At 37.2% G+C, this 13,602-nt stretch overlaps 1 protein-coding gene and 1 long non-coding RNA gene across 4 annotated transcripts in view, besides 3 other annotated features; one reads left to right on the forward strand and one right to left on the reverse strand.

Annotated features, from left to right (window-relative positions):
* The window catches only part of PARAIL (palmitic acid regulated anti-inflammatory lncRNA), a 40,313-nt gene extending 39,051 nt beyond the window's left edge, over positions 1–1,262 (reverse strand). The window contains exon 1 of the long non-coding RNA NR_125822.1: positions 596–1,262. This is a non-coding gene — a long non-coding RNA (palmitic acid regulated anti-inflammatory lncRNA). The remainder of the gene's footprint in view (positions 1–595) is intronic.
* Positions 1,113–1,232: a silencer, noted in NCBI's record as "silent region_19345". NCBI's record gives its function as "represses an Ori minimal core promoter by ATAC-STARR-seq in GM12878 lymphoblastoid cells {active_cell/tissue: GM12878}" and the evidence as "EXISTENCE:reporter gene assay evidence [ECO:0000049][PMID:35858748]".
* Positions 1,367–13,602, forward strand: part of RIPK2 (receptor interacting serine/threonine kinase 2) — a 33,249-nt gene continuing 21,013 nt past the window's right edge. The window contains exons 1-4 of one of the 3 annotated variants that reach the window (NM_003821.6): positions 1,367–1,784; positions 6,380–6,533; positions 8,892–9,047; positions 13,323–13,480. In NM_003821.6, coding sequence (NP_003812.1) covers positions 1,612–1,784; positions 6,380–6,533; positions 8,892–9,047; positions 13,323–13,480 — 641 coding nt within the window. In that variant the 5' untranslated portion in view covers positions 1,367–1,611. Of the gene's footprint in view, positions 1,785–6,379; positions 6,534–8,891; positions 9,048–10,559; positions 10,661–13,322; positions 13,481–13,602 lie in introns of those variants that run through there. The other 2 variants (NM_001375360.1, XM_011517357.3) reach the window with 2 other exon arrangements.
* Positions 1,773–1,842: an enhancer, noted in NCBI's record as "active region_27604". NCBI's record gives its function as "activates an Ori minimal core promoter by ATAC-STARR-seq in GM12878 lymphoblastoid cells {active_cell/tissue: GM12878}" and the evidence as "EXISTENCE:reporter gene assay evidence [ECO:0000049][PMID:35858748]".
* Positions 3,121–3,210: an enhancer, noted in NCBI's record as "active region_27605". NCBI's record gives its function as "activates an Ori minimal core promoter by ATAC-STARR-seq in GM12878 lymphoblastoid cells {active_cell/tissue: GM12878}" and the evidence as "EXISTENCE:reporter gene assay evidence [ECO:0000049][PMID:35858748]".

A 13,602-nucleotide genomic window follows, 5' to 3' on the forward strand; every position in this document is an offset into this window, starting at 1 on the left:
AAAATACAAAAATTAGCTGGGTGTGGTGGCGGGCGCCTGTAATCCAAGCTACTTGGGAGGCTGAGGCAGAAGAATTGCTTGAACCAGGGAGGCAGAGGTTGCAATGAGCAGAGCAGAGATCGCGCCACTACACTCCAGCCTGGGTGACAGAGCACGACTCCCTCTCGAAAAGAAAAAAAAAAGCTTATTAAGCAATAAAGCACAGAGTATCAGACCATATGTTTAGTGCTGAACATTTTATTATAAATGATCAAAAATGTTTAACATACTATTGTTTACAACCTCCCACTACTGTAAAATCTAACATTGCTACTTTCATTTCAGGTAATGCAAAAATACAAGAAGCATTAGCTGTCTGTAGGCAGAAATCTGTTCGAGTCATTCCTTATTACTGAATCCCTAGAATTAATTAAACATCTAGTATGGAGTTGGTATTGTATATAACATTTGCACTCACGTCTTACAAAATAGTCATCTAAGTAGAAAGGTATTCAAGGCAGAAGGATGGAAAAACGTTTGCAGTCTTTTTTGGTTGGCATGAAACACTGACTGCATTCCTCCCAGATTTATAAGAAAGAAATATTTGCAGTCTTACCTGGAGTTAGATGGATGGACTCTCTCAAGGTTATTTTTCAATCTCTGCACATACATACTTATGGAAGTAAGAAAGAAGAGGGAGAAAAGGCAGATCCCCCATAACAGCGGTTAAACACCTGAACTTGCTCCACTATGACAGGGTTTATCATCCACCTCTCAGTCCTCAAGTGGCTGGAAATATGGAAATTGGAGTCCAGGTAGACAGGTGAGTGTACAACCTCTTAAGTGTGGAGCCCTCGGAATTCACAACACTCCCCAAATCGCTTCCTGCGCAGGCGCGGAGTCGGAAGGGAGTCGGAAAGCAGACCCCGGTGCCCCCTAATAAAGCCCCCAGCCGGACGCTGCCGCTACCGGGGTTTGGCAACTTCCGGAAGACCTGTGGCCCAAAGGAGAATCCTGTTGGGGGAGGCGGGGGCCGGTGGTCGCTAACCAATCCGACACCCGCCAGCAGGCTGAAGAGAGGGGCTTTCCCAAAAGGAAAACTTTCCCAAACCTGGGGGATGGGAAGAGAAGACAAAAGGAGCTCCCTTTCCCACTTCCCAGCCGCCCGTCCCAGCCCTCGGCCTCCGCTGCGCGACCCGGGCGGAGGATCCCGGCCGCAGGCCGAGGCGAGAGCCAGGCGGGAGGGCCGCGAGCGGGCTGCCCCTCTCCCCGCCTTGCCGTCCGCCGCTGACGTAACCTGCGAAGTTTGGGGAGGGAGGAGCTCGGGCGGCCGGAGCTGGTCGCTGCGCGCGCCGGGGGGAGGGCCGGGGCTGCGAGAGAGGAAGCTCTTTCGCGGCGCTACGGCGTTGGCACCAGTCTCTAGAAAAGAAGTCAGCTCTGGTTCGGAGAAGCAGCGGCTGGCGTGGGCCATCCGGGGAATGGGCGCCCTCGTGACCTAGTGTTGCGGGGCAAAAAGGGTCTTGCCGGCCTCGCTCGTGCAGGGGCGTATCTGGGCGCCTGAGCGCGGCGTGGGAGCCTTGGGAGCCGCCGCAGCAGGGGGCACACCCGGAACCGGCCTGAGCGCCCGGGACCATGAACGGGGAGGCCATCTGCAGCGCCCTGCCCACCATTCCCTACCACAAACTCGCCGACCTGCGCTACCTGAGCCGCGGCGCCTCTGGCACTGTGTCGTCCGCCCGCCACGCAGACTGGCGCGTCCAGGTGGCCGTGAAGCACCTGCACATCCACACTCCGCTGCTCGACAGGTAGGCAGTCACTGGGGTTCCCTGGAAGAGCCCTCAACTCCTGCATCCCCTCAAGCCCCCTGACAAGCGGGCTCTAGAGCCCAAATGGCAGTGACCGCTTGGGGCCGGCCTCACCTCGTCACCTCTAGGGAGCCCTTCAAGCTTGGGAGATAGGGAGCACCCACCCTTCAAGCTCTGGCACCGTAGGGAGCACAGGCTTCTCTGGAGATGCAGCAGTTGCATTCCTCCACACATCTCTCCATTACCCTTTCTCTCCTTCCCTCTTACTCCTAGGCGTTCTGGCTCCGTACTCCAAAAATCAGCAATCACTGCCTAACTCTAAACGCTGGGTTTACTGAAATTGATGTGTGTTTATATATAGTGGGTGTGGGTTTTGTTTGCTTTGTTTTTTCCTTATTTTTGAAATTGGGCTGTAGGGCTGCACTGTCCAGTAGGTAGCTCTTAGCCACAGGTGGCTATTGAGCACTTGAAATGTGCCCGTCCGAATTGAAGTGTGACCTAAGTGTAAAATACCAGAGTTCGAATGCTTAGTATTTATTAAAAAAAGAACTTATAATATTTTATTATTTGTTTATTGATTATATGCTGAAATAACATTTTTGATATCTTGGGTTAAATATAAGATTAAAATTCATTTTATGTGTTTCTTTTTACTTTATGTGGCCACGAGAAAATTTTAAATTGTATGTGGTGGTGTTCACATTATATGTTTATTGGACCGCACTGCTTTAGAATCAAGGATGTTTTGCTTCTTATTGTTTTTATTTTGGTTTTGGTTTATTATGTGTTGTCAGGAACGTTTTATATCAAACTCAATACTAGCAGTTCAGTTTCTCCCAGTCTCAGTTTCTCTCACAGGGAAGATTAAGTAGAGGAAATGTGTGCTATTTTTGCCACAATAAATTGAACCAAAAGACTGTTAAATGGCCAGAAATTGTAAATGGCTTTCACTTATTGGTTTGTACAGGTTTTAAGGGAAGGTTAGCATTAGTTTCTGTTTTCAGAAGAACATTACAACCGCGTGCCATAGACCTGTGACTGTGTATTAGTCAATGGGTCACTAGTCTTGTGTATTTTACTTCCTACAGGGATTTAACTAGGCCCAGCATTCAGTTCTTAGTGAGTTAACATCCATGATTACAACATTCTCTTCTCCTCCTCCTATATCTAATGTGAAAATACGTCATCCCCGATGCCTGATTGGCCAGAAGCTGTGAGTATCCAGCATCAGATAAATTCCTCAGCTTCCGCCCTGCCAAAGTTACTGGATTTTCACCTGCCTGTGGCTTTTCTTCATTGTCTCTCACTGTCAGGCTTCGATGGCCTAAATGGCACAGGAGATTTGGGACACTTCTAGAGCTTGTTTCCACTTCTTGTCTATCATAATCCAGATTCAGTGATATACAAGGTGTGGTGTCTGTTTACTCCAGGCCTTATATTCTGTGGAGCAAGTGCTGGACAAGTGTGTATATGTGTCTGTAGTCAACTTTTAAGGGTGGTGGTTGGTTAGAGAGGGTGGATATATGTTAGAACCAGTTATGCAAACACTATATGGAAATGTAGCACTGATGGACCCATTAGGTATTGAAAAGCCAATTGATCCTCCCACTTTGGGTGCTGCTTCTCAGGATTTTGATTTATCTAAGCTTTGTGCAGTTTGGGGACCAAGAAGTGAAGAGGGAGTTTCCTTCCCATACTCATGAACAATTTTCATAGTCTAAAATTCTTCACTGAATTGGGTAGGAAATTAATTCTGTCTTCGAGGAAGCCATAAGACCAGCGAAACACTCTGGCATTTACTGCATCACATTCTTTTCTCCAATTTGTTACTTAAGATCTTATCATTGCAGTATTTATGTAGTCTGAGCATTAGATGAGGCTATGCAGTTGACTCACTGGTGTCTCTTTCCTCACTTATAAAATACGAATAATAAATACATGTGTTTCTCGGACTATGGAGAACAATGTTTGCATTGTTCTTTGGGATGACCTGAAAAAAAATAAGTTTATGCAATGTTACATGCTCTTATTTTAATGACTGGTGAATCAGTCTCCATAACCTGACTTCTATCCGATGAGTGGACCTTCCCCAACAATCTTCCCACCCCTTATGAGTAATGAGTCCAATTGGTTGTTCAAATACCCTGTAGATGACATAACTTTTCTGATTAAATTTTTGAGTTAATTTTGGTGATGTGACTATGGAAGCTGTACTTTACACCTTTATTTTCAAAATGTAAAAATCAATTTTTAAAATCTTTTGGCTTTAAAAAAAATTTCCCACTCACTCAATCTTGCCAAAAATCTACCTTCAAGAACTTTCCTACTATATTCTTTGATCAAGCAATAGGGTAGAAAGAATGCAGGCTTTAATGTCCCATGATTGCAATTCAAATCTGACGCCAACCCTGCCACTTATTAGTGTGACCATTAGAAAAGTATTAATTTTTCTGAGCCTTAGTGCCCTCATTTATAAAGTGGAGCTAATGAAACTATGTTTAGAGGGTGATCTTAAGATGCTAGTGCATATAAAGTGACTGACATGTAATAGGGTCACAGTGGAAAGAAGAATGCCTCTTAATGGGAGGAGGAAAGAGTGTGTGAAGTGTCACTGAGACTTCTGCAGCATGCACTCTCTATTGTTCTTAGTATCCAGGAATCTTCAGGGTCATCCTCTATTGTTGGCCTAAATCTCTTGGGGCAGATATGGAACTATTTCCATCTAGGGAATAAACATTTAATTAAAATGGGTCTCACAAACTGATACTGGTTTCCTAGCAGTTGGAGTATTAAGTGATTGAAGGACAGAGAATGAGAGAAGCTTTTCACTTTATGCCTTCTTGTTACTCTTGAATTTTAAGACATATAAATATATGACCTATTCAAAAAATAAATGACGAAGATTCTTTTGCTTTGTTTTTTTGTTTGTTTTTAAAAGTAGTCCTCTTAGTCTGGTCTAGAATGTCTGTTGCTATTCATATTTCAACAGCCATTCATTCAGAGCTTGGGAGGTGTAAGAACTAACTTATCATCATTACTTACCTAATAGGCTTCTCCTGGAAACATTTCTATTTCTGTCATTGCTGCAGCCAACATCCAGTCACTCAGGGTAAAAAAATAATGACATCTCCAATTCCTTTTCATTTTTTTTTTAACCCCCTACAGTCAGTCACTACAACGCGGGCATTCTATTCACTTAGTGTTTTTCTTTCCATTTCCACTGCTACCTTTGTAGTTTTAGGTTCATGTATTAACTGGTATTAAAATCTCCTAACACCTGACTTTCAAACTCTACCACTTTCTACTAATCCTACATCTTGTTGCCAAATTGATCATCTTAAAATTGTATTCTACTGTCATTCCCCAACTCAAAAACTTTCAGTCACACCAGGTACATTGGCACACCCCTGTAGTCCCAGCTACTCAAGAGGCAGAGTAGGGAGGGCCAGTCTGGGCGACATAGCAAGATCTGGTCTGTTAAAAAAAAAAAAAGTTTCCAGTGTGTATTCTGTATGTTAAAAAAAGCAAACAAACCGTCAATCACTTAGTGACTGCTAAGTGAAGTTTCACCACCCTAACCAGGCTTTAAGACTGAGATATGTCCCTAACCTGTCTTATTCACCTTCACTCCTTTTATATTACATAAAAGGAGTGCATTAAACAATTCACAATTTCCCAACTTTAGCCTTCCCTTTAATTTCCTTGAAATCATTTGATACCTACCTATTGGACGTCTGATACAATTGAGCCCAGGAGTTTGAGGCCACCCTGAATAACATAGTGAGACCTTGTCTCTACAAAAAAAAAATAGGCACGGTTGCATGCCTGTGGAGCTAGCTGGCTGCTGGGGAGGCTAAGGTGGGAGGATGGCTTGAATCCAGGAGTTTGAGGCTATAGTGAGCTGTGATCACACCACTGCACTCTAGCCAGGGTGACAAAGAAAAATAGAAAAAAAAATAGTTAAATATATATTTGTTTTACATATGAATAAACAAATGAACCTGGGAGCCAGTTACCCCAGCAGTCTATTAATATTATTGAGCATTTACCTGTTCTCAGTGATCTTTTCCTGAGTTCTGGTATATAATTTATAAATATTACTGACTTTTATGCAGCTATTGAATCTATAACATTTAAAGGTTTTAATATTCAGGATATTTGGAAAATGTTTATATGGTATGCAACCATAAAATTTAATATAATATTCTAATAAAACATGCTCATTTGAATACAATGTAAACTTAATCATGTAATTAGTTCAAGCACCAATTGTTCTAACATAGATAGACTTTATAAATTTAATACTATGTTCTTTCCCATTCCTGGGATAAGTACAATAATAATAAACCTGTGTTTAGCACTTTTACCTGTCAATGGCTTATAGAAGTTAGTTTGGTCTCTAAACAGACCTGTGGAATATATAGGGTAGGTATTATTTCTATTTTAAATATGATGAAACTAAGGTGCAGAGAAGTTGCATAATTTACATGAGGTCACATAGCTAATTAATGAAAAAAAATCCAGGCTTAGTCTTATAGGCATGATAATTGTATATTTTTTTATTACTTGAATAATTATGCATTTTTTTTTCTTAGTGAAAGAAAGGATGTCTTAAGAGAAGCTGAAATTTTACACAAAGCTAGATTTAGTTACATTCTTCCAATTTTGGGAATTTGCAATGAGCCTGAATTTTTGGGAATAGTTACTGAATACATGCCAAATGGATCATTAAATGAACTCCTACATAGGGTAAGTATTACACAGTTTTAGTGGCCATAATTGCCATTTTTACTATTCAAACTATATTTTACTTTGATTTTATATTTGGTCAGATTATTTAGGGGTATATAGATGAATCAAAGAATAATGAAAAACTATCACAGGGATAAAATTTTACCTTTTGTGACATTTTTGTGTTGATTAAAACACTGTGGATTCAGGCCCTGTACTCTAGATTATTTTGCCTGGGTTACCATTCCTAACATTTATACCAAATTATAGTATTTACATGCATATTACATGGGTAGAAATGGAAGAGATAAACTCTGCATACTGTAAAATCCACTGTTAAGTGATATTTTATTTTATATTAATAGCAATTTCAAATTCAAATTTAATGTTATTAATACCAGTTCATAAAGTTCTGAATTAGCAGGCCAAATATTAATAAATTATCTCTGAATACCAGATACATTAGCTTTTCTAATAATAGACAGTGGTATCAGCCATTTACCCTTTTTCCCAAGGTACCAGTCACTCTCTCTTTGATTATGAATCCCTTGAGTAAACAAATTCAGGGGTCCTCATTCTCAAAATACATGTATTCATTATTAATATTATCATGAGTCTGTAGTTTCAGTAGATCTTTTTAAACTACTTGGTCCATTTTTTGAGGGTTGGCTTAATTAAAACTGTATTAATCTACAAAATCCAATCAATAGATACTCATAAATGATAGTGTAACACAATGCCCTGTAAGTGGCCAAGGGAAAGTGGGTGCCACTGTCAGTCAGTCATAGAGTAACTTCCTCTCAGTTTCAGAATACATCACATTCTATTCATGACTTGTGACCATTTGAAACAAGGATGGAATAAGTAACTGGTGTCAGTCTGTAAGATTTGTATAACTACCACAGAGCCAAGATACAAATATTAATAAATCACAATTTCTCTTTTATTTTTGTTGAGAAATGAGTATAAGTAGAAATCTAACATTTTCTTCCCACACCCCAGCAGATACTCTGGCACCCAAATTTGCAGCTCGCTGGAAATTCTACAGCCTCCTCAAGGGGGATTGCTAACTCCTGGAAAAAAAATCATAAAATATACAGTGAGCACTTCTCTCCCTTGTCTCCATGATCACAAGCCCCCATATTATATTATGCTGCAGAGAGGCCTGGTAACTGCTTTAAACTGCATAATTTTCAGAAAAAGTTACCTTTTTTACAGATTAAAAGATTAAGTTTCTCTAGGGGACAGGCCTCTGTGTATGCCAGAGAAAGTAATGTTCCACGTCAGCTTTTTGTGTTTCTTTTGGTTTCCTGTATTGCATTATTTAGGGTGGGATTTATCTTGAAGTGCCCTCCCCCAACCTCACAAAATTCATTGAGAAAACTCAAGATGTATCATAAACAGTCTAAAATATTTTGAACCACTCCCCCTGCCAGATTGATCACTGAACTATAAGCTGACGCATTTGCAGAAAAACTTCTCAAGAACAGTTTTGTACTTTCAGTAGAAGCAGTCTTTTTCATAGCATTTAGAAAAATGTGGTATGGTGCCTGGTGATTCATCGTGGATCTTCCCAAATTGCCTGATCTTCCAAAGTATGTTCATTCTCCTGGGAAGCCACATTAACTTTTATGTTCAGAAAACATTTATTTTAAGAAAACTCAGATGGATATTATTTGAGTACTATGAAAAATAAAATGTTATGTTTTAAATGTGTCTGTTCTATACAGTTTTAGAAACAAAAATGAGTGTCCCTTCCACAAAAACAAAACAAAAGGCTAATTTTATAAGCTGGAATGCAGATAAATTAATTATATGATTAAATGTATGATAAATTAATGCTTAGTCAATAAATACAATATGATCATAATTTGTAACTGATGCAGTGATTATAATGTATGATTTTATAGTAATAGAAAAATTAAAATACAAATTTTGAATGAATGCCTTGGTATTTACTAGAAAAAAACTGTCTGTAATTTTGTGTGTATTTGTGTGTACTCAAATTACCTGATTAAGACATAGAATGAGGAGGTGGATGTGGGTGTAAGTATATGACTCTGGCTATATACAGATACAAAGTAATTGAGATTTGTGTCAGCTGAAGAAAGACCCAAAACCATGTAGTTGCATGACCAATATAAACTAAAAGGAAGTATTGGTGCCATAAAGTTATCATAATTTTCTCTATAAAGTGAGGAAAGTAAGACACAAAAATGTTAAACCCTATCAAATTGGTGCTATTTTATAAAAATGAGCATATGTTTTAACCTTAGTTTATACTGTATTTCCTCATGGAATATTTAACTTTCTAAGTGTGAAACATAGTGAAATTTGGACTAATTTCATTTTCTTTCTTTTCACATATATATGAAGAAAACTGAATATCCTGATGTTGCTTGGCCATTGAGATTTCGCATCCTGCATGAAATTGCCCTTGGTGTAAATTACCTGCACAATATGACTCCTCCTTTACTTCATCATGACTTGAAGACTCAGAATATCTTATTGGACAATGAATTTCATGTTAAGGTAATTACTTTTTTAAAAAGTTTATGTTTCCTTGTCCTTATAGTTTTAAAAATACTTTTTAGTTATTTCTTCGACCTAGCCAATTTCATGTCTCTCCTTAGAGATAGAGACTAATGAATAGTAATTTCCATAGCCCCTAATTTCTATCTTCTATTCTCCTTCTTCCTACTGCAGTTAGGAAGTTATTCCTAGACAGAGATAGAATTATGGTACAAAATACAAAGCCATTATGTTTCTTAATTGAATTGTCAAGATCACCTTTTTTTTTTACTTTTTATTTTAAAATTATTATATATTTATAGGAAGTTGCAAAGGTAATAAAGAGGTTTCATGTATCCTTCACCTGGTTTCCCACATTGTTATATCACACATAATTATAGTATAATTTCAAGACCAGGAATTTGACATTAGTACAATGTGTGTTCATAGTAACCGCAACAATCAAGGTACAGCACTACTCATAACATCACCACAAAGATAACACTCATCCTACCTCACCCACTTCCTCCCTACCACAATCTGTACCCCTAACAACCACTAATCTGCTTTCCATCTCTTTAATTTTGTCATTTTGAAAATGCTATATAAGTGGAATCATATAGTATGTGATATTTTGAGATTGGCTTTGTTCACGTCACATAATGCTCTTGTGATCCGTCTAAGTTGTGCTTGTAACAATAGTTGTTTTTTATTGATAAGTAGTATTCCACAGTATAAATGTACCAAAGTTAACCATTCAGGAACATTTTGGTTCTTTCCATTTTGGGGTAATTATTTACAAAGCTGCTGTGAACAAAGCTGTACAGGTTTATGAGTGAACATAAGTCTTCATTACTCTGTGATAAATGCCCAAGAATGCAAATGCTGGGTCATATGGTAAGGGTGTGTTTAGTTTTTAAAGAAAGTATCCAACTATTTTCCAGAGTGGCTGTACCATTTTACATTCCACCAGCAATGTGTGAGAGATCCAGCTATTCCGCATCATTTTCTAAAGGGATTCTTTGGTTTTCTTACTGTTGAGTTTTGAGAATTCTGTATATGTTACAGTAGTAGTTCTTCATCAGATATGTAGTTTGCAAATATTTCCTCCCAGTTATAGTTTATCTTTTCATCCTTTTAACAGGGACTTTCACAAAGCAAAATGATAATACCAAATGCCCACCAGCATTTGGTATTATCACTGTTTTCTGTTTAGCTGTTCTAATAGATGTGTAGTGATATCTCATCTTGGTATTAATTTGCATTTTCCTAACTGCTAATGATATCGAACACCTTTTTATATGCTAATTTGCCACCCATACGTGGTTTTCAGTGAAATGTCTCTCATGTCTTAAGCTCATTTTCTAAAGGGATTCTTTGGTTTTCTTACTGTTGAGTTTTGAGAGTTCTGTATTTGTTACAGTAGTAGTTCTTCATCAGATATGTAGTTTGCAAATATTTCCTCCCAGTTATAGTTTGTCTTTTCATCCTTTTAACAGGGACTTTCACAAAGCAAAAATTTTAATTTTGATGAAGTCCATATTTTTTCTTCTATGGATCATGCTTTTGCTGTCATCTCTAAGCACTTTTCACCAAGTTCTACTTACTGAAGATTTCCTTTTTTGTTATCTTCTGTAAGTTTTATAGTTTTATGTTACATATGTAATCTGTGATCCACCTTGAATTCATTTTTTAATAAGATGCAGGACTTAAGTGCTGAAGACACTGGCTATTGTGATTTCACAGCTATACTATATCTAACTGAGTGTAAATAAAAAGTAGTTTTTGAGTAATTAATACTAAATGTAACTCACCATATTTTTATGTATCATTTTGCTATACTTCTTTTAATAACATGTAATCAGAAAATTATTATAAATATAAAAAATGTTCAAAGAAATCAGTAATAGAGAAGTTGAAACAACAGGGAAATTAAAACAAGAAATGTGAGAGAAAATAAGTGGGAAAAATTTTTATTGAAGACACTCCTCTCCTTAGAATAAAGTGGTAGGGGAAAGGAGAGAGAAGCAAGCTGCTGCCTCAGTATTGCTAAGAAAAAAAGAGACTAATCTATTCCATCAATTATAGAACCATCAAGTAGAAATACCTTAATGGTCAACTAGTTCTCTGATACTTCACTGCAACAATCCCTGTCTCCCAAAGCAGTTATCCTGTAACAGGGAGTCTTAACATCCTTAATTGAATAATTGTGACATTTTCTTAAATGATCAACCAAAATTCCTTCCTGGTTGCTTCCACACATTGATCCTAGTTCAACTTTTTGTGATAAACAGAATAAATCCAATTTAGTTACTTCAGCAAGACAGCCCTTTCAATATTTGAAGATAGCTATGAGCTGTCTCCCAAACCCTCACGTACAAGTGCATTTTATCCATCTCCCTGATAAATACCCTTTAGTTCCTTCAACTCGTTTTCTTATTACATGGATTTTAATCCTTGGTGCTATGTAGATGCATCATTTTGTTTAAATCTCACTTAAATGTTGATCGTCAGAACTGAACACAATACTATTTTTGGTGCGGTTTGATGAATGCAGACTTTAGTGAAAGTGTCATTTCCTTGGCCCTAAATACTTAATAGTTCCTTAATAATTCATCAGCTTTCCAGGGGTAGTCATATCACATAGTTCAAATTGGGCTTAGTGTCAACAAAAAACCCTTGGAGGTTCTTTTTGCCACGTATCGTTGCTTAAGCCACCTCTTCTTAAGCAACAAAGTACACAAAATAATGTACTTTGCAGAATACTTTCTAGATATGATCAAATTTTATCTTGTTAGATTGGAGCAATTGCTTCAGTCTCTTAAGACCTTTTTGAATGTTATTTCTATAATCCAAAGGTTTTAAGTTTCTCTCCAAGTTTTGTGTGATGCTGAAATTTAATTAGCTAATTTTTTGTATCTTTAAGTCATGATTAAATATGAACCAGTACAGAGCTTGAATCAGAGCTGTATCACATGGCCATAAGAACCTTCATCTGGGTCAATATCAGTCCTTTTGTTAATCCGCGCTTTTGGAGAACACTCATTCAGTTTGTCTGGAATACTCCTAAAAGTGCTATTATACAGCCCATATTTCTTCATTCTGTCCTTAAAAATTTTTCTGAAAGTCTTTGCTTAACTGCTTTTCTCAGCTGTTCTCATGACTTAGTCATCTTGGTCCTTTTCTGTGAATTCAATTTTAAAATTCTTGATTATTTTTATTTTTTTTCTTAAATTGACTCTTTTATTGTAGCAAATGAATGAAAAATTCATTTATTCTACCCCTCCTTTTTGGGAATGGAGGCCATAATTTTTTTTATCTCAAATTCATCTAAATGCTAATAAAAATTATGTATTTTGTTAAAATTGGTAAAAAATATAGGAGGTAAACAATGGAAACAAATGATGTGCTGCATGGAGCTCATTTCACTCTGCTGAATTCTAAAGTATGCAGTAAAATATTTTAAGTAATTTCAGTGTCTTTTAGGATTTCCCATACTCCCTTGTCAATTAAATATTATTTCTGTTCTTACATTTTGTCTTACATTTTTAAAAAATAAAGTAAAAAATAAGGAAGCTTTTAAATATTTAGTTATAAGATACTGTATAATATGTGCATAAGATTTACAACTGAAGCAAAACTGTACAGGACATATCAAAGGCACAGAATATTGTCACTGATAATTCTTTAGGCACCCATTGTATTGGACATAAATATGTTTTCTTTGCAATTATACTGTTTCCATGAAATACTTCTTTTAGTGATCAGCATAAAATTGTATAATAATTACCTTTACAATTTTGAGATTTAGTGTATTTCTTAATTTAAGGATGCTACCTTTAGGGCATTATTAATACAACTGTATAAACCAGAATTGTAAACAATGACCAGTGACAATTGCATGAGATGTGAGTAGACTTGGCAGCTCTGTGAGATGTAGGAAGCACATGGTATCAAGCTATATGTCATGAAAAGTAAGGTGTGCAAGGTACACACTCATTGAGAATATCAGACAAAAAATGCCTCTGCTCAATTTTCAAAAATTAGTCTCTCTTTTGAAATTTGTAATGTTATATTAAACTTTAACTCAGTATGTATTGCTCCTAGAGTTATTTGGCTCAGCAGTGTGGAATTTAATTTTGTAAGAAGTTGGGGGAATATACAGAAATAAAATATTAAAATATATTACATTTTCTCTGGTTTGATATCTAAATACAGTGAATATACAAAAAGATAGTTGACTTTTGGACTTTTTAAAGAGGAAATTTCTTAATTATTTGCTCTTGTCCCTTACAGATTGCAGATTTTGGTTTATCAAAGTGGCGCATGATGTCCCTCTCACAGTCACGAAGTAGCAAATCTGCACCAGAAGGAGGGACAATTATCTATATGCCACCTGAAAACTATGAACCTGGACAAAAATCAAGGGCCAGTATCAAGCACGATATATATAGGTAGAGTAAAGTTGCTTCTGCTCAGATTTAACCTTGTCTCAGACACAAAATTAGTCAACCAGAATTTTGAAGCTACATTTTAAACTGTGATTTTTATTCTTCTCTCATAATTGTGGTGAAAA

Source organism: Homo sapiens, chromosome 8 (assembly GCF_000001405.40).
Source record: "Homo sapiens chromosome 8, GRCh38.p14 Primary Assembly".
Lineage (NCBI taxonomy): Eukaryota > Metazoa > Chordata > Mammalia > Primates > Hominidae > Homo > Homo sapiens.